Source organism: Homo sapiens, chromosome 3 (assembly GCF_000001405.40).
Source record: "Homo sapiens chromosome 3, GRCh38.p14 Primary Assembly".
NCBI lineage: Eukaryota > Metazoa > Chordata > Mammalia > Primates > Hominidae > Homo > Homo sapiens.
The window spans coordinates 182,482,032-182,508,194 of NC_000003.12; the positions used below are offsets into that span (position 1 = coordinate 182,482,032).

At 38.1% G+C, this 26,163-nt stretch overlaps 2 long non-coding RNA genes across 2 annotated transcripts in view, besides 1 other annotated feature; both read right to left on the reverse strand.

Annotated features, from left to right (window-relative positions):
* The window catches only part of LINC01994 (long intergenic non-protein coding RNA 1994), a 39,393-nt gene extending 35,062 nt beyond the window's left edge, over positions 1 to 4,331 (reverse strand). The window contains exon 1 of the long non-coding RNA NR_040105.1: positions 4,163 to 4,331. This is a non-coding gene — a long non-coding RNA (long intergenic non-protein coding RNA 1994). The remainder of the gene's footprint in view (positions 1 to 4,162) is intronic.
* An 11,927-nt stretch (positions 4,332 to 16,258) lies between these two features.
* LINC01995 (long intergenic non-protein coding RNA 1995) lies at positions 16,259 to 25,093 on the reverse strand. Its single transcript, NR_134941.1, has 4 exons — positions 25,052 to 25,093; positions 22,641 to 22,683; positions 22,048 to 22,423; positions 16,259 to 16,392 (listed from the first exon to the last, which is right to left on the reverse strand). It is a non-coding gene; the product is annotated as a long intergenic non-protein coding RNA 1995 (long non-coding RNA).
* Positions 18,033 to 18,850: an enhancer, noted in NCBI's record as "OCT4-NANOG hESC enhancer chr3:182217852-182218669 (GRCh37/hg19 assembly coordinates)". NCBI's record gives its function as "activates a minimal SCP1, AML or CMV promoter by ChIP-STARR-seq in naive and primed H9 embryonic stem cells {active_cell/tissue: H9 hESC(naive and primed)}" and the evidence as "EXISTENCE:reporter gene assay evidence [ECO:0000049][PMID:30033119]".
* Positions 25,094 to 26,163: the final 1,070 nt, after the last annotated feature.

Below are 26,163 nucleotides of genomic sequence, written 5' to 3' on the forward strand. Positions count from 1 at the left end.
CTGTTATATCCGTAGCACCTAGTACAGTGCCTGGCACACAGCTGATGCTCAATAAATAGTTGTACTTAATGAATAAGTACATCAGTATGGTTTTTCTTTAAATCAATGTCCAATATATATAACCAATTGTTGAATGCCAGCTCTATGCCAGTCAGGGCACTGTTAGAAACCTAGAGGGAATGTGCGTTTGATGCTTTTGTTAACCAACATAGTTTTTTGTGTTTTTTCTCAAAGACTCACTGTAAGTAGAATCTACAGTGAGAAAACACTAGTAAGGGAAAAAAAACAGGTTGTCTACTAAAGTCATTTAACTTGCTTAAATGGCCTCTTTGGGGCAGGACCACGTGATGACTTTCATGGGCTCCAGGCATTTTGCCGTCATCCCTTCTTCCAAAAAATAATTAAAAGTTATACTTTACAATTCTACTGGTATAAAGATGAATATAAAGCAAACTGAATTCATCATCATCATATATTCATTATCATTCCATTCATTTTTCTTCTTTGTTTTAAATGTAATTAAAACATTAAAAGTACCGCGGGCCCCATAAACACTGCCTGCTGCACCTAATGGATAAGTCAGCCCTGCCTTGGGGGCCACTTGAACAGTACTATTTCCCAACCAGAGCAAGTTCTCCTCCTCCCTCCTTTTCTGATGGAATAAAGCTTCACTCCAAGGGGCTGATCTAGGCTTTCTAGTTAGAATCCTAACTCAGAAAACCTCTCCTTTTCTTGTCTAATTTAAGAATACTATGCTGAGACCTAAGGGGGAAAAGCCTGCCTGCATTAACCTTCTACCAGTTCCGAATCATGCTGACTCTTATCTTTTCTGTTGCTAAGCTGTGGGACTATTATGCCTCCCCAACACTGCAGAGCCCTCCTCTTGTTTATGTAAAGACTCCAATTAAGCCAGAAATAGAATTTCGCACTGCAGACGTCGTTTAAAAAATGTTAAGACATTCAGGCCTGTGTTCCTGTTCATTATTCTCTGCTGAAACCTAATATTAGTAACAGCATGTACAGAGGACCTGGACCATGAATTAAAAATGAAGTACTTGTACTGGAAAATACGTGAGTACCTAGTTACTTTATTTGGCAGTCACCTGTGAGGACAGGAGTTTGCTCTGTCTTACACAGCACTCTCAGTGATAGTTTTGCAGAATAAAACTAGAAATCAGTTATTTCCAAAGGATTACCTGCAGGGGAAAAGATAATCAAACATTAATCTACCACCTACACTCTTCCCTGCTCCAATGCCATAGACACAGGGTTCCTCAGAAAAGTTCTGGTCCAAACCACTTCTTTTCTGAAACTTTGACTTTCCTAAAGCACTTAGTCCTGTTGATATTTTAACATGAGTAATGTCAATTATTTCTTCATCTAGTTTACCCCACCACGGGGAGTAAAAACCTCCTAAGGACAAAGAAAGACTTGTATCTCTATTCAATCTCTAGAAAATGTGGGAGAACAGTTATGAACAGAGTTCCTAGATTAAATCCAATGTAGACTGAAATTCTATCTCTATGGCTCACCACATAACCGAAGCATGATCGTGAGCAAATCATTTATCTTCTTTGATCCTCAGTTTCTCCTTCTGTAAAATGCAATAATTAACTTCTCGAATTAATGTGAGGATTAGGATAAATGTAGAGTGCTCAGTATAGTGTGGTATGCCGTGAGCACTACATAAATGGTAGCTGCTATTATCATTATCGTTGTTATCATATCTCATTACTTTCTTTGTATCCCTATCCTGTAGCATGGTAATTAGTACATACTAATGTTTGTTGTGTAAGTCACGGAATAGAGTTCATGCAATTATTTGATCCAAGAAGAAGGACAATTTGTTTTGTTTGTTTGCCTTGGTTTTTCTTTGTTGTTGTTGTTGTTTGTTTGTTTGTTTGTTTGCCTTGGTTTTTAACAAGATTGGTTTTCACCTGAGTTTTCTCCTTCTTTAGTGCATCATCCCTGCTTCCTGAAAGCATTGTTAAATACCTGATAACAATTTATCAAGGATATTTTTCATTTCTGATGGATTTTACTATATTGAAACAAATTCCCAGCCAGAAACTATCATAGCTCCTCCTGTAGCAATCAAGAGAAATGTAAATCTGAACATGAAAATAGGTTTGTGTACAGAGGTGTCAAGCTTTTGGTTCTGTATATGTTACTGCAACTTTAAGGATTATTTGGTTTATTTCTTGCAAGGCAACTCACTCACCTGTCCCCAAAGACCAGGTTTTTTGTTGCTTCCTGCACATGTAAAAAAAAAAAAAATGCCTTTCTACATCTGCAGAAAACAAGTAGTTGTTGTCATCACTATACTTGCCCTGTGAAACCTTAGCAAGGGGGTAGAGTTACACATTCCGCTCCTTTTAAGAGGAGCAGAGTATTTCAGCTCCATCGATGGGGAGTTGCATCCAGTGGCTCTAATAACCTTGGCTTTTAAGTTTTGTGGATTTAGACATCAAATTATGTTTTAAAATATAACAAAATCCAAAATAGTTTTCAAAACCAAAAAAAAAAAGATGAAACAAAAATCAAGGAGTTAGAATGATCTCTGATGAAAACCAATTCATAGAGAAAGGTCTAGTTTCTGTTTTTGTTTTCTTTTAAGCTATTACATAACTGATTGTAGTATGTGGTACAGGAAATAATTTTGCCCATGCACCTGCACAGAAAAACCCAAATCAACGAGTTTGCTTCAGCCATCAATCTGTGGGACCAAAAGCTAAGCCTGAAAGCAAAGGTGAAATAAAATACGAAAATTGCACAGCAGCCGCAGAGGAGTCAGCTATCCAGAGGCCCTGCTGAAACCCCATCTTTAGGGTAGAGTTTCAGACACATTTTGATGTTTTGGTCACCTGACCCAAGCTCTGGAGCCCAATTGGCCTCCAAATTTACAGGCTAAGTAATGATGTAACTAGAGTGTGTGGGAACCAGGAGGATGAGACAGATACAATTTTTCCCAGTCGTTTATTAGACTTGGCTACTAATTCTGCTTGTTCTTCAGTTTGACTACTGGTTATCAGGAAATTTGAACTACTTAAAGAACATAATCAGTTTATCTATAACCAGGGCAGAATTTAGTCACATTCATGTAAAATTAAACTACAGTAACAGAAAATAGTAATTTGTGAAATTCAACTATTTATATTTGAATTTGATAGCAGATATATTTTAATGTATCTATATTTTGTTTTTCTGTACTCTTTTTTCACTAAACATTATTTACAATATCACTTATAATATCATTCTTATGTTGTCTAAGAAAGAAATCCATCAAAATAAATGTGTTGGTTTATCCACGATTTTTCTAATCCTTTTCTTAATCTTACAGCATTTTTGTCTAAACAGAATAAATGTTTATACTCAAGTAATTTGTCACTATGGTAACTTTTGGCCTTTAAAATGCTGACACTATATCAGAGACAACCAAGAGAAGAAATTATCCTTGTTCGACAAGTAAGCAGAACCAGTTTGGCAAACTTCAGGATGCCTAGGGATGAAAGGCGTTTGTTGTTCTAGAAATACTACTTCATGTCAGGAAAATGAGAGCATATCCTGGTTTCATGACAAAAACAGGAGCTGTAATGCTGATAGCAAAACTTAAAGATTGAAGACTTTTTTCATCTAAATTTCCTATAACACTTCCCTCCCCACTCCCAAGAAATCATGTAAGTAATTTCTAATACTCACACAATATTATCTTTCTAATGTGTAGGCATGAGTTTGTAATAACTTTTCTGACTTGTAATCCTAAATCCCTTGAAGATAGTCTTACAGTTGTACCTCACAAGACTTTGTCCAACAGAAAATGTAATATGTCTCCAAATGGAATGGTATGGCTATTTATAATGAACTCCCTGTATATTTTTTAAATTAAAGGATGTTATATTTTGCTGTCATTCATACGCATAGGAAGTATTTCCCATTCTCAAAATATTTAATCTAGTTAGCAAATATCTTTAGGAAAGAAATCTCTAAAAATCCTTCTTTATCACTCCCCTTGTTTAAGTGTGTATCATGCCAAACACACACACAGTAGATATGGTGTCTGATATCTTCTGAAACCTGTTGGGGACTATATGAAACATTAATGGGGATTAGTGTTAGAACTGGTGTAAACATAGCAAACAATCTGCTGAAAGTGCATACTCACATTTCCATATGTTATGCAGTAAGCGGAGTCATTTAAGAAGCGAGGTACTCAGGGAGATGGTGTTCAGGTAGTGAGTATTTGGCTGGTGAAAAGTAAACACACCCTGGATGTATTTACTCCATAGCACCAGCATATACATATCTACCCGACTCCAGTCCTTAAGCTTCTCCTCAAGAGACAAGTCAAGATTGAGATACGCAATTTCACTACACAAAGCTTCTAAAACATAGATAAAAATGATTTAGTACTTCCAGGTGCACTGTAATTCTTGGCAGAAAAAGTTAATTCCAGGTGTGTAATCTCCTAAAGAAATCTGTTGTCAAAGCTGGATAAAACCATCACATTCGAAAAATAAAAGTTCACCTATGAACAAAGTATAAGGTATGGCTAGGAAAACTCTCTGCTCTATGTAGAAATTAAAGCATAAAAGTGAAACTCCCTTTTACTTATGTAAACATTGCTGGGCTTTGGGCATCATTTCAAAAGAGGTAGAGCCGAACATGCGTGAGCATATAGAAATATGACATACTCTCGGTGGGAGGTTTGGGGTGGGGTTCTAGTGCCAAGCCAGACTCTAACACACAGACAAAGGAAGAAACAAGCTGCATTTTATAGCTTACAGATTTTTTTTTCTTTATTTTTTCAAGCCTCTGAGCCAACCAAATAACTCAATCAACAACAACAAAACCGAGATGGGCCACAAAGTGGAAAATGTTATAACAGCTTAAGTAACAAGGAGGTGGGGTGGGGGGGCCCTGGCAGGGATAGGAATGCTGGTGGAGGGTGCGGGGAGGAGAAACCCCATATTATAGAATATTTAAGCCTTGCAATTCAATGCACATTTATTAATTGGTTTCTTTTTAAGAGACACTTATTTATGACAGGTTTATGAACAATATAGCATGTGCAGCACTGACGTTCTCCCATGGCTTATTTTTATTTCCATATGTTTAGACAAAATGAACATCACATTTAATACTAGTACTAGCAGCTCTTGAAGTGTTTGCCAGTGCTACATCCCTTGGGAGTTGTTACCACTAGATTAATATCCTGTGGGTCACTTAATTTAAAAAACCACATTATAGAGGCTTTATGTGATTAGATGTACTGCTTTTACAAGCCAGTTGGGGTGTGTCCTTGGCATCTGGTTCAGAAAGGCTGGTGAGCGTAACTTATATAGACCTCCAACCTGGAGTGTCTGAGCAGCCAATGATTGTACTGACATATGGACGAGCAGAGAAAAATGTGTCCTCTGTCTACCATCAGAAACTGCCTTGAAGACAGGATCTAAAAGGAACAACTTGCTTAGTCAGAAACCGGCCTAAACAGATGGTAGAAATTGGCTGCTTCAGAGAGTGAAGGGTAGTGCTATCATACCCTGAATCAGGCCTGTTTGTCACAAAATGCTCATAGTAAATAAACAGCCATGCTATTTCCACACTATGCTATCAAAACCAAGTTCTACCAATCAGAGAGTATTTTACTTGAGAATTTAAAATATGCTCTTTATTTTCTCTGTTAAACATTCTCAGGTCTCGGTATTTGGAAGACCACCCAAAAACAACAGGAAGCATGCTTTTTGAGTGAACAAGAGGAATTTGCCACTGGCTTCAAGGACACTTGGAATAAGATGACCAGTATTTCCTGCGGGAGTTTCAAATGGCATCAGGTGCAGTGGCTCCAGGCAACCTGGAAGCATTCATCATCATTTATGGTCTACTCTTGATTCTGTGAGGAGATGATTCACTTAGGCTTCCTACAGGCCAGGCCCAAAGAGGTGGCAGGCTACCATGAGGACAACAAAGCCTAAAAGTCATCCAGGTGGGACATTGTGAACTACAGAACCTATGTATGAGGTAGATTGCAAGTATCTCCGGTCACATTCACAAGCCAATAAAAACAATGCTGTCCTCCATGAGAACAAATCTAATTAGAACAAATCCCAGTCCTTTACAAATACTGTAGACTGAAATGCTTGTTTTAAAGATAAAGACATTTGGCCAGGAGCGGTGGCTAATGCCTGTAATCCCAGCACTTTGGAAGGCTGAGGCAGGCAGATTACCTGAGGCCAGGAGTTCGAGACCAGCCTGGCCAACATGGAGGAACCCTGTCTCTACTAAAAGCACAAAAATTAGCCAGTCGTGGTGGCACGCGCCTGTAATCCCAGCTACTCAAGAGGCTGACGCAGGAGAATAGCTTGAAACCAGGAGGCAGAGGTTGCAGGGAGCTGAGATCTCGCCATTGCACTCCAGCCTGGGTGACAGAGTGAGACTCTGCCTCAAAATAAACAAATAAAAATACAAAAATTAGCCAGGCATGCTGGCATGCACCTGTAGTCCCAGCTACTCCAGAAGTTGAGGCATGAGAATCGCTTGAACCCGGGAGGCGGAGGTTGGAGTGAGCCGAGATTACGCCATTGCACTCCAGCCTGAGCTACAGAGTAAGACTCCATCTCAAAAATAAATAAATAAAAATAAAGACATTTGTTCAGCCCTTCAAACTGTCAATGAGTATGTTCTTGGAAAGGTTCCTTGTCATCAAATATAAATTGCAATGATCAAAGGCGAACTACGTATCAATATGTAATGAAAAATAATTTACTAGGAGTCTACATTGGAGGAGATGAACTCTACAGCAGAAATGGTGCACCTCTGGGTTTGCCAAAGCAGAAAAATTCTTGACAGCCTTTCCAAAAGTACAACCAAGTTCTTGTGCCCCAGAGTGGGGTGAGATCTTAGAGAAGAGAGGCATCTATAGGGATTATTTTTGAAGTCTTGTTCACAGGTTTAAGCAGTTACAATCACAAGTCTCTCTGCTCAACCACGACCATCTAGGTTTGCCCATTACTTTATTTTTTAATCTGACACAAAAGGAAAGACGCAGAGGTGAGAAAGGGAGGGGTAGAAAGGTGAATTATACTCTCTGTATCCTGTTCTACCACTTGCCACATTTCTAAATTACCAAGATTCCCAGGCACAAGAGTATGTGTGAATATTTTGTTCTGTTTTTTTACTCAGTACTAATAATACACAAGAGCTGAATAGTTACTGAAACTATTTCCAGTTTCTTGCATTTGATAATAGATGGAGACCCGATTCGAACTGACCTAGACACTTAAATACTATCCCAGACAGAGCCATCCCCAAGTAGGTCACAGAGCTTCTCTGTGTCTGTTTCTTTATTTGCAAAATCATACTGTATCACCTGTCAAATTCACAGATTGTTAAGAATTAAGTAAGTTCATGGCTATGAAACACCTTTAAAACTATGAAGCACTAAAACAAATTCAGTGGATAGTGGCAATTATGAAGAGGATGATGATGGAAATGAGAGAGACTACAAATGAAAATTCTGTATATTTATGAAATTATGGCTTAGTATTTGTCATTTGAGAATTTCAATGTTTTTGGACATATAGGACTGGGATCATAAAAATTCATGAGCATATTGGTGATCCTCAAATAAAATCTGTTTTAAATACATAATGTACACTTTCCAAAAGAAAATTCGTGATGTGCATATTTATATATTTACTAGCACTATCAAAAGGTACCAAAGATGTTAACACTAAGTGCTAAGCATTTTGCATACTTCTGGAAGCTGTTCTTCCCTGCTTTGCCCACATAAGTCACCTCCCTTGAATGATACTTGGGAAGGCCTGGTCACAATCATCTTTAGACATTTGATCTGACTGAGATAATGTCCCATGAAGGTGCTGTGATTTCGGTCAAAGGTGAAATAAACATTTTTCTCAGTATTATTGTCCAAGAGATTTTACTTTTGACACTCTGGGTCTGCCTCAAGTGGCTGCTAGGTGATAGAGGATGAAAAAGAGAAGGAATGAGTAAAACCTGAAGTGAGAACCAGAAGTTTTCCCTAAAAGAAGCTAAGTTTTTTAGGGTGAAGATAAAGATTTAATTTTGCAATATTAATTTCTACTGCCAGTGTAAAACTTTATCTTTCTAGGTATCTGTACACGTCTCTGCCCAAAGTACCCTCCTGCTACTAAGGCAAAGGAAAAACATATTGATTTTTCTGCAAATTCCCATACCTTTCTTTCAAGTTGACTGCTTGGAAATCTATTCAAATTGGAGACTGTATCCTGTTTAGGTAGCTGAAGTTGACAGCAGAGCTTTAATTAATAAGGCGTGCAAGGACAAAGGCACTAGGCCCAAATCAGATACAAGCGACATCTTCTTGTGGCTGCTCTGAGAAGCACAGCAATTATTTATACTCTACCTTGGTGCTCAGGCAGAAGAAATAAGGCTAGAGCATGAAGAGCAATGCTATCTGCCAATATATGAGAATTATAGCATTCTGGATGAACAGAGTTATATTATCCCTGCTTTCAGATAAGTAAACCAAGAATCAGAGTGCGTGGATTACTCTGCAAATGGAGGTAGAAAGCCTGTGCCCTATTTTCTTGTCCATCTTCAATATCCTGTGCTGGGATTTCAACAACACTTGAAATCCTCTTGCTTTCCTCCTTTTGCCCATTATATTCCTTATCTACAGTGGGCATTTTCAGTGCTGCCAACAGTGCCTATGAATCTACGTTCTAAATGTCAGGACCTGCCAAGATTTGTTAATTATCCTAACTCCCTCTGCTGGCGGATTTAACTACAACCCAGATTCAAAACTCAATGGAACACAGTAACTGTTTAAAATGTTTTTCAAGTTAATTCACATCATAAAAGAGTAGGTCCGAAGAAGGAAGAAAACTACAAGGTGAATTTTAGTTGAGAACGTAACTCACTATAATATAAATAAACTGGAGGTTTAATAGTATTTTTTAAACCAGCATCTGGGATAAGATTTGTGAAATATGAAGTAGATAATGTTGGTATAATTTTTCCCCATTCTCTTTTTGTTCCCACACTCCTTTTCATTTTTGTGGCTTGTGATATTTCCCTTTGTCTCTAAGCTCTAGACTTCTACTTAATAAGTACCAATAAAGATTGTATGTTATCCTTAAACAGTGGTAGCATTCCCCACCTGCTAATTGCTTTATTTGTACTTACTGTTTCCGCCCTCTCATCAACAGGGGCTTTAGTATAAAGGGCAATGAAGTAGAACGTGATGAGGCGAACAGGAGCCAGCCGAGTGAATGCTTCTATAATTACACAGTAGCCTGGAGTAGCTCTTCTCAAATCAAATTATGAGCCTGGATTACCTAAAACTCTCAGGACACAGCCCGGGTTTTCATTTGTCTGTAGGTTACTGTCGACAAGCAGCCTTCTTTCCCCTTGCCATTATTCTTCACAGAGATTATCAAAGCTCCCATTCCACTGCAATATTCCCAGAGCAATGAGATGCCATGGAGAAGGCCATTTTCTTAAATGGCTTGCCTGACCCCATGTGCTTTACCACTTATTTTTTTTTAATTTAAAAAAAAACTTTTTTTCATGTTTATAACCACCTCTGTCATTTGCATATCAAAGTTGATTCCCAGCTGAGCTTATTCATGATTCTTTGGCAAATATTTATGCTTTGTCAATGTCCCAACCACCCATAAGGCAACAGGAACAAAAGTCAATAGGCCTCAGCAATGTTTGGATCCTTGTTTGAACACCTGACTATACCCTCGGAACTGTACACTGCACTGGAAATAGCATAGTAATAGGAGGACCAGACTCGAGGTCAGGCCATCTGGAATAGGGGCACAGATCTGATGATGGCTAGCTGTGTGGCCCTGTGACACCCGTTCACTTCTCATTTTCTCCATCTGAAAGCCAAGGCAATTGAACTAGATAATCTCCAAGGTCCCTTCCAGTTCTGTGGTTTCATAGACTCAGCACAGTGCTGCATGGATCATGTGCACAGGAGACTCAGTACATATTTGATTGCAGCAGCTAAGCAAAGCAAAACAGCAATCCATTTCTCAAGTGGTTTAAATGTTTATTAAATCAAGATTTGATGTGTCCAAGATCTGATCAAAAAGTGAACAAAAAATGGTGAGCTTTGGTTGGTTAATGACTCCTAGAGAGAAAATCCAGGCTCAAGTCTTAGCTGTGTGCAGTGTTGGGGTCGGTCTACTAAAGCTTCTAAGAGGGAAGGGTTAGATGATCTCTAAAGTTGTTTCCAACATTGAAATTACAGCTCAAAAAGATAAAATTCAAGTCACCAATTCCTGTACGTAATAGTCAGTGCACTTTATCTTCTTGAGAAAAAAATGGATAATTTTATGAATAATTCTTTTAAAAATCCTCCATTCTGTAACACTCTATAATAAAGATTTTTCGTTTGGTTTAAAATAAGTATTTAAAACGGGCATAGTGATAGGGAAGACAGGTAAGATTATAATCATTACAAAGTTGAGAATTTTTCATATATGGTCATAGTAACGTAGTCTGATATCACACGCCAATTTGTTAAGGTGACGCTTAGATGTCACCAGAAAGGTAATGAGACTTTTGTTTTCATGGGTAGTATCTTAATTTAGAAAGTTATACTAAACAGAACTTAAAATACTAGTTGTATTTCTATTTAAAAAAAAAAAAAGCCATGTTTCCCATACTTAAAAAAAAAACTACTCATCAGCAAAAATGTTACAAAATAAACTGAGTTTTAAATTGTTTCCACTTGAGAACTAAAGGACTTTGTTAATGATGAAAATTTAATTTAGTTTTACATATTATTGTTCCTAATTGAAAAATTACAAGCATAAGTGCTAGCACTTTCTAAGTACTTCTGTATTTACTTAAAATAAAAGCTATATCCACAGGACTAACCCACCCAACAAGTATGATATCAATAAAACCACACTCTTTTTTTTTTTTTTTTTTTTTTTTAGTGAGCCAGAGTCTTGCTCTCTCACCCAGGCTGACAGCAGTGGTGCAATCTCTGCTCACTGCACTCTCTACCTCCCAGGTTCAAGCGATTCTTATGCCTCAACCTCCCCAGTAGCCGGGATTACAAGTGTGTGCCACCACTCCTGGCTAATTTTTTTTTTTTTTTTTTTGTATTTTTAGTAGAAATGGGGTTTCACCACATTGGCCAGGCTGGTCTCAAACGTCTGACCTCAAATGATCCACCTGCCTCGGCCTCCCAAAGTTCTGGGGTTACAGGTGTGAGCCGCCACACCGAGCCTAGAACCACTCTTAACACTTGAAATGGCAATGGCCCTAACACACACGTGGTACTTGTTGTGAAAAATTATCATCCTTTGTAAAGATAACGGTGAGGATAAAACTAAGATGGATGGGCAAATGAACATCATTTGGGAATGCTAAATTAGATAAGTGGATACAAAAGAATTCTTAACTTCCAAGTGCACACCTTACACACAGATAACAGGAATTTAAATTCTGATCGTTCAAGTCAAACCTGAAGTCCTTCTTCCAAAATTTTCCTGAAACATTTGCAAAACTTTTAAACCTACTTTGCAAACTGGAAAATTTACAAAAACAATGAGATTAGTTCATTCGGGTTTCATCTTAACCAATATTTTTCTCCTTTACTTATGGTTGAAGCAGGCAGAGAAAATAAATTTTACCAATAATTATATAATAGTTGTTGCTTTCCAATTATAATATCCTCTCCTTTTATCTTATTTACTTCCCATTAACAACACTGTATCTGACTTGGTCTCATAAACTGCTATGCATACACACACACACAAACACAAATTTTGTATGTATGTGTATATATGTACTTAAAATATGTATTTTATATATATAAAATTATATGTAATATGTACTTAACATACTGTGCACACATGCACACAGACAGCATGCAAGAGGAAGTATTGCTTGGTTTTCAGGTTATTCCGTTTTTAAAAAACAATGCATTGCTTTTTATACCTCCATTTCTAACCACCAACTTACTCTCAAAACTTTCCCCTATGTACGCCTGTAAAACATTCTTGTATGACATAATGGTTATGCATCCAGTATCTGAAGCCAGACTATCTGGGTTGCAATCCTGGTTTACTTTCCTTTATCTGGATAACCTTAGGAAGTTGCTTGACTTCACTGTGCCTCAGTTTCCTCATCTACAAAATGGAGATCATATGGCATCTACTTTGTAGGATTGCTGTGAGGATTAAATAAGTTCATATGCACAAAGTTTAGAATAGTACCTACCATATAAGAAGCAGTGAACAATTAGATATTACTATTATCGTTGCCATTGGCTTAGTTAATACTATGTGTCTACAACTAAACTACTTTGTTAAAGATTTTCCAAGTACATCAATCTTTCCCTTTACTTCCACCATTCTTCACTAACATAGCAGAAGAGTTTCACTACTGTTATTTTCCACAAATACTTCTGCCAAAGAAAGTTCTCAGCATGGTTATAGAGAAGCACTGTCCAACAGAGCTTTCTTTGATGGAGGAAATATTCTATATCTACATTGTTCAATACTAGTCACCAGCCACGTGCAGTTAATGAGCACCTGAAGTTTGACTAAGGAATTGAATATTTTATTAAATTTAATTTTAATTTTAATAAAAAGGGCTATAATGGCTAATAATTATCATATTGAACAGCACTGTTATGGAGGATTTCGCAGTCACACCAAGACTTGAATATGTGGTTTTACCCCTTACCAACTCTGTGACATCTCATTTTCCAGATCCTCAGTTTCTTAATATGTAAAATAGAAAGAATAATACCTCTCACCTAGGAAAAATGCAATCATTATAAAGATCCTAGTTTAGCGCAATTTCTATTAGTTTTCCTATCTCCCTACCCTCCGTTAAATTGGTATTATTTGGGCAGAATGGCTCTTAGAATGGCCAGACACACAGCAGAAAGAACCTTTTAGCTCTTTTTAGATTTCAAAATTAAAAGCACTACCCCCTCAAGGTTTCCACTTGCTCCACTGTAACTTTCAGTCTTGAGTGGAAATATGATGTTGCTTTTTGTCAGAGACCCCTGAAAATGTCTGAGTGTCTCTCAAACAGCAAGAAACTAAGAGAATCCTCAGGACACTCTCACACTCCTAGAGCTGCATGTGAGGTCCCCAGCAGCCATGGTCATGGAGAGCTCATATGTACAAGCTCCCCCAGATGGTGCGCTACGATCCAGCAGCTTCTTGTTGCTTGCTCATCAAAAAGCAATCATTGAGAGCCTCTGTTCCAATCACCTTGTGATCTGGCATCAATATCTTCATTATATGGAACCAATCTCAAATAGTTGGGGACTTCCAGGAGATCTTCTTTACACTGAAAACCCCTCGCAATTACGTTTTTTAAAGGTGGTAGAAGAAATGTTCATGTATCATGGAAAGAGAAGTGCAGTCTCTTCCAAAGTCTTCAAGGACATGGTCATAGGGGTCGCGAGACACAACCTCAGGACAAATGTGAGCAGTAAATCATAGTCCCAGGTCTACGGTGAAAAACTTGAGGAGTACAGATGGACACATCAGCACCCCTAAAATTGGAACTTGATTTCAGAAGGGCAGGATGGGGGTCTAAGATACTTTACCAGCAGCCTCAGTACTTTTCTGGAGTTTTATCCTCTCTGGTGAGAAAAACTTCTTTTTGATGCTTCAAAAATTTTAGCCAACTTGGCTTCTTACCATATCCTGAGCATAAAGACTTTCTGGATATGCACAACGATATCCAAATGATATGTCATGATTGTACCAAAAACAGGAAGAACCACACATCCACCCAACCATTATAACCTGTATGCCCAGTGAATTGGTGGTTGGGGGACTGCATGGGTGAGAAATATTGATTTCGCCCAACTCTGAGATAATCTATCCCTAAAAGAAAAAACATGTCCAAATTATGTGAGACAGCATGGTGCTGTGGCAAAGCAGTGGCTTGTTGTCATAAGACCCACTCCTTATCACTCAGTGACTTTATGTGGGATTTGGGTCCAGTTACTTGACTTTTTAAGCCTCCGAGTCTGTAATCTGTGGATAATACTACTTTATTTTGAGGATGATAAGGATTAATTAGGCAACGTTGGAGTGCTTAGCACAGTGACTACTATGGGTTGATAGTCAACAAAGATTTGATTTCTTCACTCCTTAGATATTTTGAAATGATGTTATGATCATTCGGTTTAGTTTCCACAGCTAGCCCAGTCTGTCCAAAAGGATTCACTTTACCTTTTATCCAGATTTCAAAAATGGGTTAATTATATATTAAGCTGGGATATCAACGTCAGCAAACTTTGATTAAGATTTGGAATTTAGTAGTCCTAAGCAGGTAATAAGGATTTTGTTTTTTCCTGATGCATGTTAGAGGAGTGAAACATCCAAAATACAGGCTTTGGGCACCATTTGCCTGGATTAATACAATTTCTTCACTGAATTCCAGCCTCTTGTTGTTACTGAAGAGATCATCTCACTATGGGTTTTCATTACATCAACCCTATTCTCCTCTAGGGCCTTCTTAAATGGGCTACAACTAAGGAACAAGACCCTTTGGAGCAGCTTTGAAGGCCTCTTCGGGGTCAGGATGACATCCAAGGAAGGCCTCACTTCCTGTGTCTCCTTCTGTGTCCCTTAGCAGGCTCCTCTCATGCCTACTTGACCAACATCTTATTCTCCACAAAACAAACCTCTGAATTTGCCTCAATTTTTAGGTACCGTGGGAAGCATTGAAAAAATGATTTTTCAGGCCCATTCCAACTCTGCACTTTTGTGATTTTAAAGTTATCCAAGTGTCTCAACCATCACTTGTTCACTCTCCCATCATAGCTATTTTATTCTTTTCAACAAGTACCAAAGTGGGAACACACAACCTCCTTTCATTCCCATCCTATTGCCTCCACAAGGCTTTATGCAGAGTGGAAAGTAAACTTCTTTAGTTTCTCAACTTAAAACTGTAATTAATAAAAAAAAAAAAATTCTTCCTGATTTTTAGCTATTTAACTTGGAGAACACCCAAACCCAGTGCTGAGCATGTAATTACCACAGCATAACTACCTGTTAATTGATTGACAATGTTAATATTATCATTCTTTTCATTTCACATACTTGTTCAGTGTTTTACCTGTTGTCTATTTATCCTCCGTGCCTACCTCCATTGTTGTTTTCTCTTAAACTACAAACTGCAAAGCATAGAAGCCATGTTTCTTTGACTCAGTGTGGATAATAGGCTGTAGAGAGATGCTTAAACAGGCTTTTCAATCGATTGATTAATACAATGATTGATGGATGGATAGAGGAAAGGGTGAATGCATTACAGCATTCTCCATTTGCTATTCCAACAGGATAAATTTACCAAAAGGGTCTCGCTCTGCCTCTGCCCCCTGAACAAAGCGCCAGAGGTAGGTGAGTGAGAGGGGTCAAGGAACAGCCATCCCTACTGCACACAACACAGGAGGATGTCTTGCAGAGGATACGGCTTCTTCTTTGGCTAATTGCTACAAAACATCTTTTGAAGCAAAGTGGTTATTTTCTACTATTTCTTGGTCATTTTTCCCAGGGTAACTTGAAGTTTTTAAATTTAAAAAGGAAAGAAAAAATCCAATGAACCCTACATTTTTTTAACCCTACACTTCCTAACTTTGAGTCACGTTAAGTGCAACTGATTCCCCTGCTATTGATAACGTATTTATTCATTTCCTAGAGTAGTACACATTCCATCCACAGACTGTGTAGGTTTCATAGGTTTTTATATAGGTTTCATAAACCTATAAAAAAGGAAAAAAGAGATAAGTAAAATATTTAATTATTTAAATTGCCAGATTTAATTTATAATGCACTTTAATTGCAAGTTCAAATTAAGGACCTTGGGACTCAAAATTTTGTTTGTTTGTTTGTTTTTGTTTTTTGTTTTTCTCTTTTGACCAAATTGAGGAGCAGGCAGGACTAGCCACACAGGAGCAGAAGACAGATAGATCTCAGGGTTTTCATGCATTCTGGCTAGAAGTATAAAACCATGTATCTGCTCATGTGTGCTACTTCCAATGCAAGAGAATGAGTTCCTTCTGGAGATACGTCCCTGCGGGCATTCCAAGGGCACTAACTAAAAGTCCATTACTCTCTCTGCCACTCAAGAAAATGCAAACTAGGAAACAGTCAAATGTATTTTTTAATTGTTCATTCATTCATTTATTCCACAAATATATATTATCTACAATGTGCCAGGTATGGTGCTAGGTACTGCCGATACACAGGTGAAAAGATATACAAACTCCCTGCTGTCATGAAGCTTACAGTCACATTGTTTGGTCCTTTGTTTGCTAATAGTTAATTAATTGGACACAGCATACCTTGGTTATTCTCATTTCTTCTCTTTGGCTCCTTGGCACTGGTCTGGAGACTGTAGAAAGAAGAGAAAGAAGCAGGATCTAAGCTAATGGAGGGATATGACTCAATCCTCTACAAACTCTCAAAGTTCACCGGGTAGGGAGGAACTGGCCAGGATGGAGCCTGTGTCCTTCCCTTTAGCACTGGGGCCATCACAGTAATGTGGCTCTGTAGTCACTCTAGAAATCGTCATTAACCATTCATGGTCAATGGAGACTCATGGCTCTTAGTAGAGGCTGCCATAATATGCTATTGTAGAAGAATATTTCATGACAAGTTATGGTCGGATTGTTAACTTTATAAAGCAATTTACAAAGCATTATCTGCAGTATGATACAATTTCGGTTAAAAGCAAAAACGTATGTATGCACAAAAAAAGATAGCCAGAATATATGACAACATGTTGGCAATGGATATAGTTCTGTTTAGGATTGTGGGTGCTGTGTGTGCATGTGTGAATACATGTGAACATGTATGCATATGCTTTTCAATGTTTTCTAAATTTCCTACAAAGAAAATGTACTAAATCATTTAATGATGGGGAGAAAAATTGTATCCCTCTCCCCAGAAATCTACATCAAATATTACTGCAACAGAAGGTGGGCTCCAATGAAAGAGGAGCCAGACGCCTATCTAGGCAGCCTCTTCCTCCTCTGTGGTCTAGGAGATGATATTGCTTGACCTGTCCACACTTGGAAGTAAAGCTCTGAAGCTTTTCTTGTCAAATTTTACTCGGACCTATTAGCCCAGAGCAAAGTAGTAACCACAATTTTTCAAACTCTGCTATTAAGTGCAGTTATGGGTGGTATTTCATCACCTACGAATAGTTGGCAATTTTTACAATAACACATTCTACCAAAATAAATTACACATGTATCAAAAATGTCATTAACAGAAACTTATCACAATGATATCAAACATACGACCTTTCAGCAAGTAAGATATATATGTGTGTGCATATATATATATGCATATATATATATATAGTGTATATATATAGTATTTCTAAATCCGCCACGGTATTATCCCAACCTGAGACATATACATTAAAAAGAAAGAATGTGCTAAAACAAAAACAATGGTATAGCATACTTTCTTCCATTTCAGTTTGTTTCTTCCAAACTGAATCCCCACTCCCTTTGCTTGGAGGAAGTACAAGGCCATTCTCCAGTGAGGGGAAAGTAAATGATTGTGTAAACTCAGACAGAATCAGCCTGTCACAAATTGGCAAATACAATTAATGGTTAGTTATCTACAAAGACTTCAGTCCTGTCACTTTTCAATTTTCTGGTCAGCATTCCAAAAAGGAACCAACTCTAATTAGTAAAATAATTCTTCAGGTCTTTATAGAGCCGATTCTCTATAAAGCTCTGTGAAAAGCTTGTTTTTGTTTTGTCGTTTTGTTTTAAAAGTTATTATAATTCCCTTACTCCAATATGAGAGATAAGAGCACTTACATACTTAACCTACCTTCTAACTAGAAAAAATATTTTCAAAGATTACTATTATTTTTTTAAGCACGCCTCTAGGCGCACCGAGTTTCTGCTGTCATTAGGTAATCTGTGCTGAATGGTAAAAAAAGCATGTAAACCTCACAGATGAAAAGTTGTATTTGAAAGCTAATATGAGATTTGCTTCACCCATGTGAATCATCTCGGGATAATAAAAGAATCTGATTGAGAAGATGATATGTATAGCTAGCACATAGTCAAAATTACAGATGTACATGTAAACGGTTAAAATTAATTACTGGCTCCATTTAGAAAAAGAATCTCCTCTGGACAAAAGAGGGTTTGAGTACATCTCCCTGTTCCTCACTCCTCTACCTTTGAGCTTTTGGGGGGCCAGAAATGCTAACCTTAATTAATGGAAGACCTACTAGACCCCAGGCAAGGGTTTGGGTCCCAGGCCCAGGTCTCCTCCTGCGCCTCTCCCGGGAGTAACGAGCAAGCGGGCTTCATTACTGGCAGCTGAGGGGAAGGGTCACTGGGAATGGATTTGCAGGGCCCTCATTGAGCGATCACTCCATGCTGAGAGGAGCTGGCCGTACTCTCGGACACCTGGTCATTAACATTGCTAATTAGCAGCCATTAATCAGGGCGCTCGCTTTTTTTTGTTGTTGTTGCATGTCACCGGCTCAGAGGAACCAAGTGAATAAGAAGATTGTTTCATTACCTCCACAAGAGGTAGAATGAAAGCAGTTCCCATCAGCTCAAGATGAGATGGATTAAGGGAAAGGTTAGACAACAGTTTGAGATGAGCTGGGGAGGGGGTGGACGGAGGGGGCCGGGAGACCTGAGCTGTCTGCCCAGGGAAAATCAGTCACCTATAATTAATGAAATCTTCTGCAACCTAATTCTAATCACCGTGTGAGCGGCTCTTCAACGACCAAATTTTTGTATTTTAAGAGCTTTATTTTTTTTCTGTTAGTACAGGGAATTATCTTTAAGTTATTTTAATTCTGTTTGATACTCAGTAGGTTTTAAGTTTGGTCTTTTCAGCCTTCTCATTCTAAATTCATCTTCTCCTTCCCAAAGATTATGAAGTCATTTAAAATTTTAAGTAGTTATAATTAAAACACTTTTAGAATATCTTCGCTATTTTATGGTTACTTTCCAACCAATGGTCAAAAAGTAATTTTTTAAATAATTTATTCTACAGTGTTTAGAATGAGAATAAGAAGAAGAAATGGTTTATTCTTACTACTGACTGCACCCAAAAGTCAAAAGGGAATAAAAAGACTATCAATTTGTGTATAATAATACTGAGAAGAATAACGTCGTTAAAAAGGGCTACGGAGTGTGTGTGTGTTTGTTGTGTGTGTGTGTGTGTGTGTAAATAAGTTGGGTTCTTCTTGTTAATTCAGATGTAATGTGATAAACATTCTTTAATGGAATGTTTTCTCTTCTGGAATGTAGTGTTTTGTGTATATACCATATTACATTTATCTTAATTTCTGGAAAACGGAAATCTTGGTAACAGATTGCATATCTCACAGTTGTTTTAGTTGTCATTTTCTATCTAGAAAAAATGCTGTGAGAATACTTATTTAATTAGCAGCTAGTTAGCTATGAATTCATTCTTTTATTAAAATGGGTTCACCCAAGAACTGCAAAACAGATCTTGACTTACGTGGGAAGCTCTCCTTATTAAAGAAACAGTGAGCATTTCATCCACCTTTTTGCTATGTTTTGCTCTGAGTTCCATGGTGGCTTACAAAATGTGGTTTGCAAGTGGCACTAAGTGACTAGAAAGCAGAAATTGCCTAAGTATTTAGTAGTGTTGTGACCTCATTTGGACAAGTGTAATAAATATATATTTGCACATATAATATGAACCCCTGCATTTTCAAAGCAAAATTATTCATTTAATGTGCCCTACACTTCAAACGATAAAAGGCTAAACCTGTTTTTTATGTACTAATTTGCTCTGTTTATGAAGAACTACGAAGTTTTGGGGGGAAGGAAGCAAGTATGTAAAACTAATCTGTAAAGCATTTCAATTGGGTTGGAAATCTGTAATATGATTTCTAGGACTTCATGGGAAAGTTGAACGCTCAAGGGGAAATTACACAAAGAACAGCTGAGAAAAAGTTGCATTCTGGCACAGAATCATGCAAATGGGGCACATTCTTCAGTTTTCTCATGACGGATTGCCTCTGAAACCACTGAGCCAAGCTGCAGCAATGCTAATGAGGGAGATGCATCAATGAACAGTGTCATCCCAGGGGCTTCTAAAGGGGACAAGGGGGGAGTGGGGAGGACAAGAGGGACTTGGAGAAGGAGGAAGGAAGAAAGGAAGAAGAGAGGGACAGACAGAGAGAGAGAGAGAGGGAAAGGAAGGAGAGCAACTGAATTTTTAATAATTAGGCCTAGGTTATTAAAAAACAAAACCAACTTAGCAGGTAGGATGGAAGGTACAAAATGAACAGCACTATAATTCTATCCTTTTAAGATGTGAAGGATTTTAAGAAACAGAGTAAGATGGGAGAGAAGACTTTTTAAACTATCTGCCTGTTGAACAAAAAAATTAAAGTTGGAAGCTAAAATGCTTCTGCCCAGAGAATAACTTGTGTGTGGTTTCTTTACAAGGACTCCAGACTATGGTGAAAAAGACTAGGGGATCATCTATCTATGCCAGGAAAAAAAAAAAGTAGCACTGTTTCAGTCTAAACTTCTTTGTGGTTGCAGATTTCTCATTTAAATATTTTTCTAATTGTAAAATCATACATTTGTAGCTCATTTACAGAAATGATAGTTTGCTTGTCATTTCAATGAAGTTTTGAAAGATTTTTTAATCTTCATAAGCATACACAAAAGGATTTGTTTTTTAAAGAATATTTCTCTTGAGATTAGCAAATGATTACTTGTGTAGAGTTCTGTGGGCAGATATATCTTTCTTGAATTGCCAAAACCATACATGTCACTTGCTTCCATACCCACCTAGTAAATATCAAATTGATAATTTGCTTTGCATTTTACTTCTATTCTGACTTCCAATGCAGTATGTTTCTGGTGGAAATTAAATCAATAGCTACTTACTGAGTGTTTATTACATCTAAGGCACTTAAAGGTATTTTTATAAAGAAATTTTAAAAAATATATAACACTGAAGTTTCAGACCTTTAAAGTGACGTCGAGTTTCCAAACATTATGAGTTAACTCCCTTTATAATAACACCACAGTGAGCACAGCCAATTTGGTATTGATGTGAATTGCATAGTTTACTTCCAAAATGTCCCAGTGACATGTACTCAGTGCTGGTTCAATCAAAAGCATAGTTAAAATGCATTATTGTTTTCTCTTCAATATCTTATTTTATGAGCATTTAGCTTTTTAAAAATGTGAACAGTCAACTGTGCACCCTGTTTGCTAGCACTGCTATTTCAGGTCCTTTAGCTAGGTAAATAAACAATTTAAATTGAAAAAAATAAATAAATAACTGTGGCAAATTTAAATTCTTTAAGTAGCAAAGAGGATATAAGGAACTTTGCTCTAACACATCAGTATAGTTGATGCTAGAGTAAGATCCTTTTTATTATTTTGCTCAATTTCAACCAATAGGAGCTTCATGATTCAGAATTAAAGCTAAAAAAATTCCCCAACTCACTCTATTGTGTATTATAGTTCATATGGTATAGTTTCCAAGACCACCCACAGTTCTGAGACTGTCTAATGGAAGATTGTATCAGCTGCTGTACCTAATGACAACTAGATGAGTTAAGAATGAAGTGTTAGCATTCATAGTACTTGTGGGCATGAAACAGATTACTCACATCATTTTAAAGATAACCTTGAATGAATGCAAAATGCATTTATTCGTGTGACACACTACTAATCGAGTACATTATCTATTAATATTAGCTCAAAAAATAAATTTCTAAGATAAAAAGTTAAAATCTATTGTATTAAAGGATCTGTTAACATGTATTTAGACAATTTTAAATTATACATTAATGGAAACTGCAAGGCATGTTTCTGACATCTCTCAAAGTTATTTAACAGCATAGTCATGAACAATGTTATTAATTGATAGTTCACTATTGTCCGTCACACTTCTAACAGATCCCAGAGTGTCTCAAAAAAAAAACAAAAACAAAAACAAAAAAAAACTTGCCCTCTGGAAAATCTCTAAAGGAGAGAGAATACATTTAAACCACAAGACGCACGTGATAAAGGCTGAGGCAGTCGCTTTTCTTGCTCTCCTGCCTTCTTTCCAAGAAAAAGCATTCTTTGAAGTTTCCTGTTTTGTTTATTAAATCCCGATGGTTTGCTCTACAATATGGCCATGTTAGGCTTAATATAAATATGATTTAAATGACTATTTAATTTGCTTGCTTGCTTTTAAATCTTAAAGTAAAAATGATACTCCAGGAAGATGCATCGTGTTAATTCCACTGGGGAATACTGTTATCCAGGATGAGCGGGTGTGGCCATCAGTGAGCTTGCCGCTTGTCAGAAGAAACTCTGGTCCGAAGCCGGGCTGCAGACTCACTGTGTGGTTTTGGGCAGGTCAGTCCTGTAGCTGCTTTGGTCCTCAGCTTCCTCATGTGTAAAATAAAGGAGTTAGATTAGGCTTTTGATCTGTAAACTCTTTTCACTATTTGGATGTTGTAATAATTCTGGTGACATTTTGTTTTTCAGTAAGGGGAATGGCTACTAAATGATTCGGGTAGATTAACTCTGTGAATCTTTTCCAGTTTAAGGATTGTGAAAGTGCATGGCCTCCATATGTGAAATGTAAAAATAAAAGCCTACTTACTGTTTTCGCAAATTTAATCCTCCAAAAGTTTAAGTATCAAAACCTGGGGAAAAAAATCCTACTTGTATTTCCTGTTGCTTTTGCATGTTCAGTAAAACCAAGTTTAATTTGAAACAAGTAGTCATAACCCTTATTAATCAAACCTTTTTCCTGCAGCAAAATTCCAAGAGGAAGATGCAGAAAGAAACCAAAAGACTTTTAATTGTTTGTGTTTGTGCATTCTAAAAATGTCTAATTTGTACACAGTTAATCCTTAGACTCAGTGTCCAATACATCCTTAACTATAGCAGTTTGATTTCTAGCTCAGGCTCTGGAATCAACCCTCGGTTGAAATCCTACCTCTGTCACATAGTTATGGTGTTATTTACCTTCTCCAAGCCTCAGTACTCTCATCTGTAAAATACAGATAATAATAACAAGACCTCATTGAGTTTGGGGAAGGAAAAATGAGATAATACATGTCAAGTGCTCAGCACAGCGATTGCTCCAAAGGAGATACCATACCTCATTAATGTTATCTTTTATTAATACCATTACCAGATGGTGAGAACTGATGCTCCCCTTAACGTTACAGGCTCATTGTCAAAGTAAAACAGGTTCATGAAGCATACTGGACATTTATAATAGGAAAGAACTCAGCTCACTTAGCCAAATGTTGCCCAAAAAAATACTGTCTTTGATCAAAAATCTTCAAAAAATACTCTCTTTGATCAAAACCCAAAGGGCTTCCATACTTCTTACCCGACTCCCCTGCATGATCTCACCCCCAAGCCAATATCATGGTGCTCAGCCTATAGGACAGTCCTCTCTGCTAAGATGGTGATGACCTGCATTTTTGCCATTGGTCCCTGGAGATCACTGCGAGGTTACTGCCTGTCCAGCTGGCCCAGAGTGACCCACCCTGCAAGCACCCTCAGGCTCAATTGGTCAGATTCCTCATCATGCTTCACCCTCCCCTCTGTGCCATCACCTACATTTCCACCTCCTCTCGCGCCTCTCCAGGGCAGCCTTTCTTCCCAGATTTCAGTCCGGCATCTTAACTCCTTCATTAGCTCTCTGTTTCACTCAGCATCAACTCTAAACTACTTCACGTGGCCTTCAAGTCCCGTCCTTCTTCAGCTTCAGTTTCTGCCTCTGCTCTCCACCTACCTCCCAACCTGCAGCCATGGTGAGCTACTTAAAGTTCTCGAAACTCCCCACACACACCTTCACCTCCAGGCCTTCAGGGGTCCTCTCCTTCCCTGAACTTCTCCCTTTAGACTCCCCCTCACTGATTCCTGTTTTGGCCTTAAGTTCTCAGCCTATGTGGAAGCGTGTCCTGACTTTAGAAGATTTGGTTAGGGGCCTGCTCATGTGTTCTATGAAGTTCCAGTACTTACCCTTATCAGAGTTTTCATCAAATATCATTGCAATAGACTACGTGCTTGTACCCCCACCACAGAGCCTTTCACATAGTAAGTCCTCAGTTAAGTATTTGTTAAGTAGGTTTCTTTTGTTTGTTTGTTTGCTTTTTGAGACAGAGTTTTGCTCTTATTGCCAGGCTGGAGTGCAATGGCTCAATCTCAGCTCATTGCAAACTCCACCTCTCAGGTCGAAGCGATTCTCCTGCCTCAGCCTCCCGAGTAGCTGGGATTACAGGCATGCACCACCACACCCGGCTGATTTTTTGTATTTAGTAGAGTCGGGGTTTCACCATGTTGGTCAGGCTGGTCTCGAACTCCTGACCTCAGGCAATCCACCCACCTCGGCCTCCCAAAGTGCTGGGATTACAGGCTTGAGCCACCATGCCTAGCCTAAGTAGGTTTCTTTTCTATCTGTCAGAGTACTTAGAACAATGCTAGGATCATCTTCACTTACCAATATAAACAGACACATTGATCATAAAAGTTATCTTTAATAAGCTTCATCAGGCTGGGCGTGGTGGCTCCTCCCTATAATCCCAGCACTTTGGGAGGCCAAGGAGGGCAGATCACCTGAGGTCAGGAGTTCAAGACCAGCCTGGCCAACATGGTGAAACCCTGTCTCTATTAAAAAATACACAAATTAGCCAGGCATGGTGGTACGTGCCTGTAATCCCAGCTACTCGGAAGGCTGAGGCAGGAGAATCACTTGAACCCAGGAGGCGGAGGTTGCAGTGAGCTGAGATCATGCCACTGCACTCCAGCCTGGATGACAGAGCAAGACTCTGTCTCAAAATAATAATAATAATAATAATAATAATAATAAGCTTCATCAACTTTAGAAACTGCCATTAACCAGCCAACCACAGAACAGATACAGGCCTAAAGAAACACATCAGCACTCACCATCCTGCCATATTGTCCTGGAGAATAAAATCATGGAAGTTGTAAAGAGATCATTTTACCAAGTTTCTACTGAAATTTCTACTGAAGAAACATTTTCTAGCTTACTTATGCATCTTCAAGGCTGTCCCTTCCATCTGAAGGCTGAATAACATGGTGGGAGGAGTGTCATGGGGAGATAAACACCATATAACCATTAAGAATGACTGGAAAGATTTACATAGTGAAGTCACAATGGGCTTGTGGAAGGTTTGGGGACATAAATATTTAGAAAATGTTTTATTTATGATTAAGAAAAACTGTGAGGTTTACCAACCCTTTTACCTCTATATTGCATGTGGGGGTGGGTGTATGGAGGTGAGCTGAGGAGTTCTCAGCCGTTGTGTTTTATGACTCACAATAATTAGCTAAGAATTGCTCTTCTTTCTCTACTCTGATTTTACCCAGTGTTTTACCCAGCCATTCTCTCTCGCACATCACCTGCTACTACATGAAAATCTCAGATATCTCAGCTCTGATCACAAATGCTTTTTTTTCTGGAATATCCATCTCAATCCATTTCTGACTATATTTCACTTTCTCCAGATTTTTGATCCCATTTTGACTCCCAGTTTTAGTTCCCATTATTGCCATTTGGATCCTAGAACTTGTTTCTCCTCGGTTTCCCCTTGATATTCTTTTAGAACTTTGGTATGCTCGGTATTTGACTAATCTACGACTAGACCCCAATTCTCCTGTATGAGCAATTGTTTTTGTCTCTCTCTTACTAGAAATACATAGTTCATACACATCATGAGCCAACTTTAAAAAATAAATAGCCATTCTAGAGCCAAATATTCATGGTGGACTTTTGGCCACCTAAGCCACAAACAACACAGTGGACTATGTTTCCCAAAGTGCAGGACCTGCACTGTGTGGGGACATGCCCCAGGAGGAGAGCAGTATGCAGTGGTACACTGGCATGGCATTAAATGCCACTGGTCCACAAAGTGAGAGAGTCGTTCTCTTTTCAGTTCTCTTTCAGTCCTTCTGATCACGGTAAGAACAGAGTCTCAGTGCTCATCTTGAACGCCTTTCCTACACTTTACAACACCTGTAACACGAAATACCTTTCCTACAGTTTACAACACCTGTAACACGAAATAATGTAACATCAATTGCTTGCATTTATTTAATTTTTGTAGTTACTTTGTCTTTATGGTAAATTGCATTTGTGTACC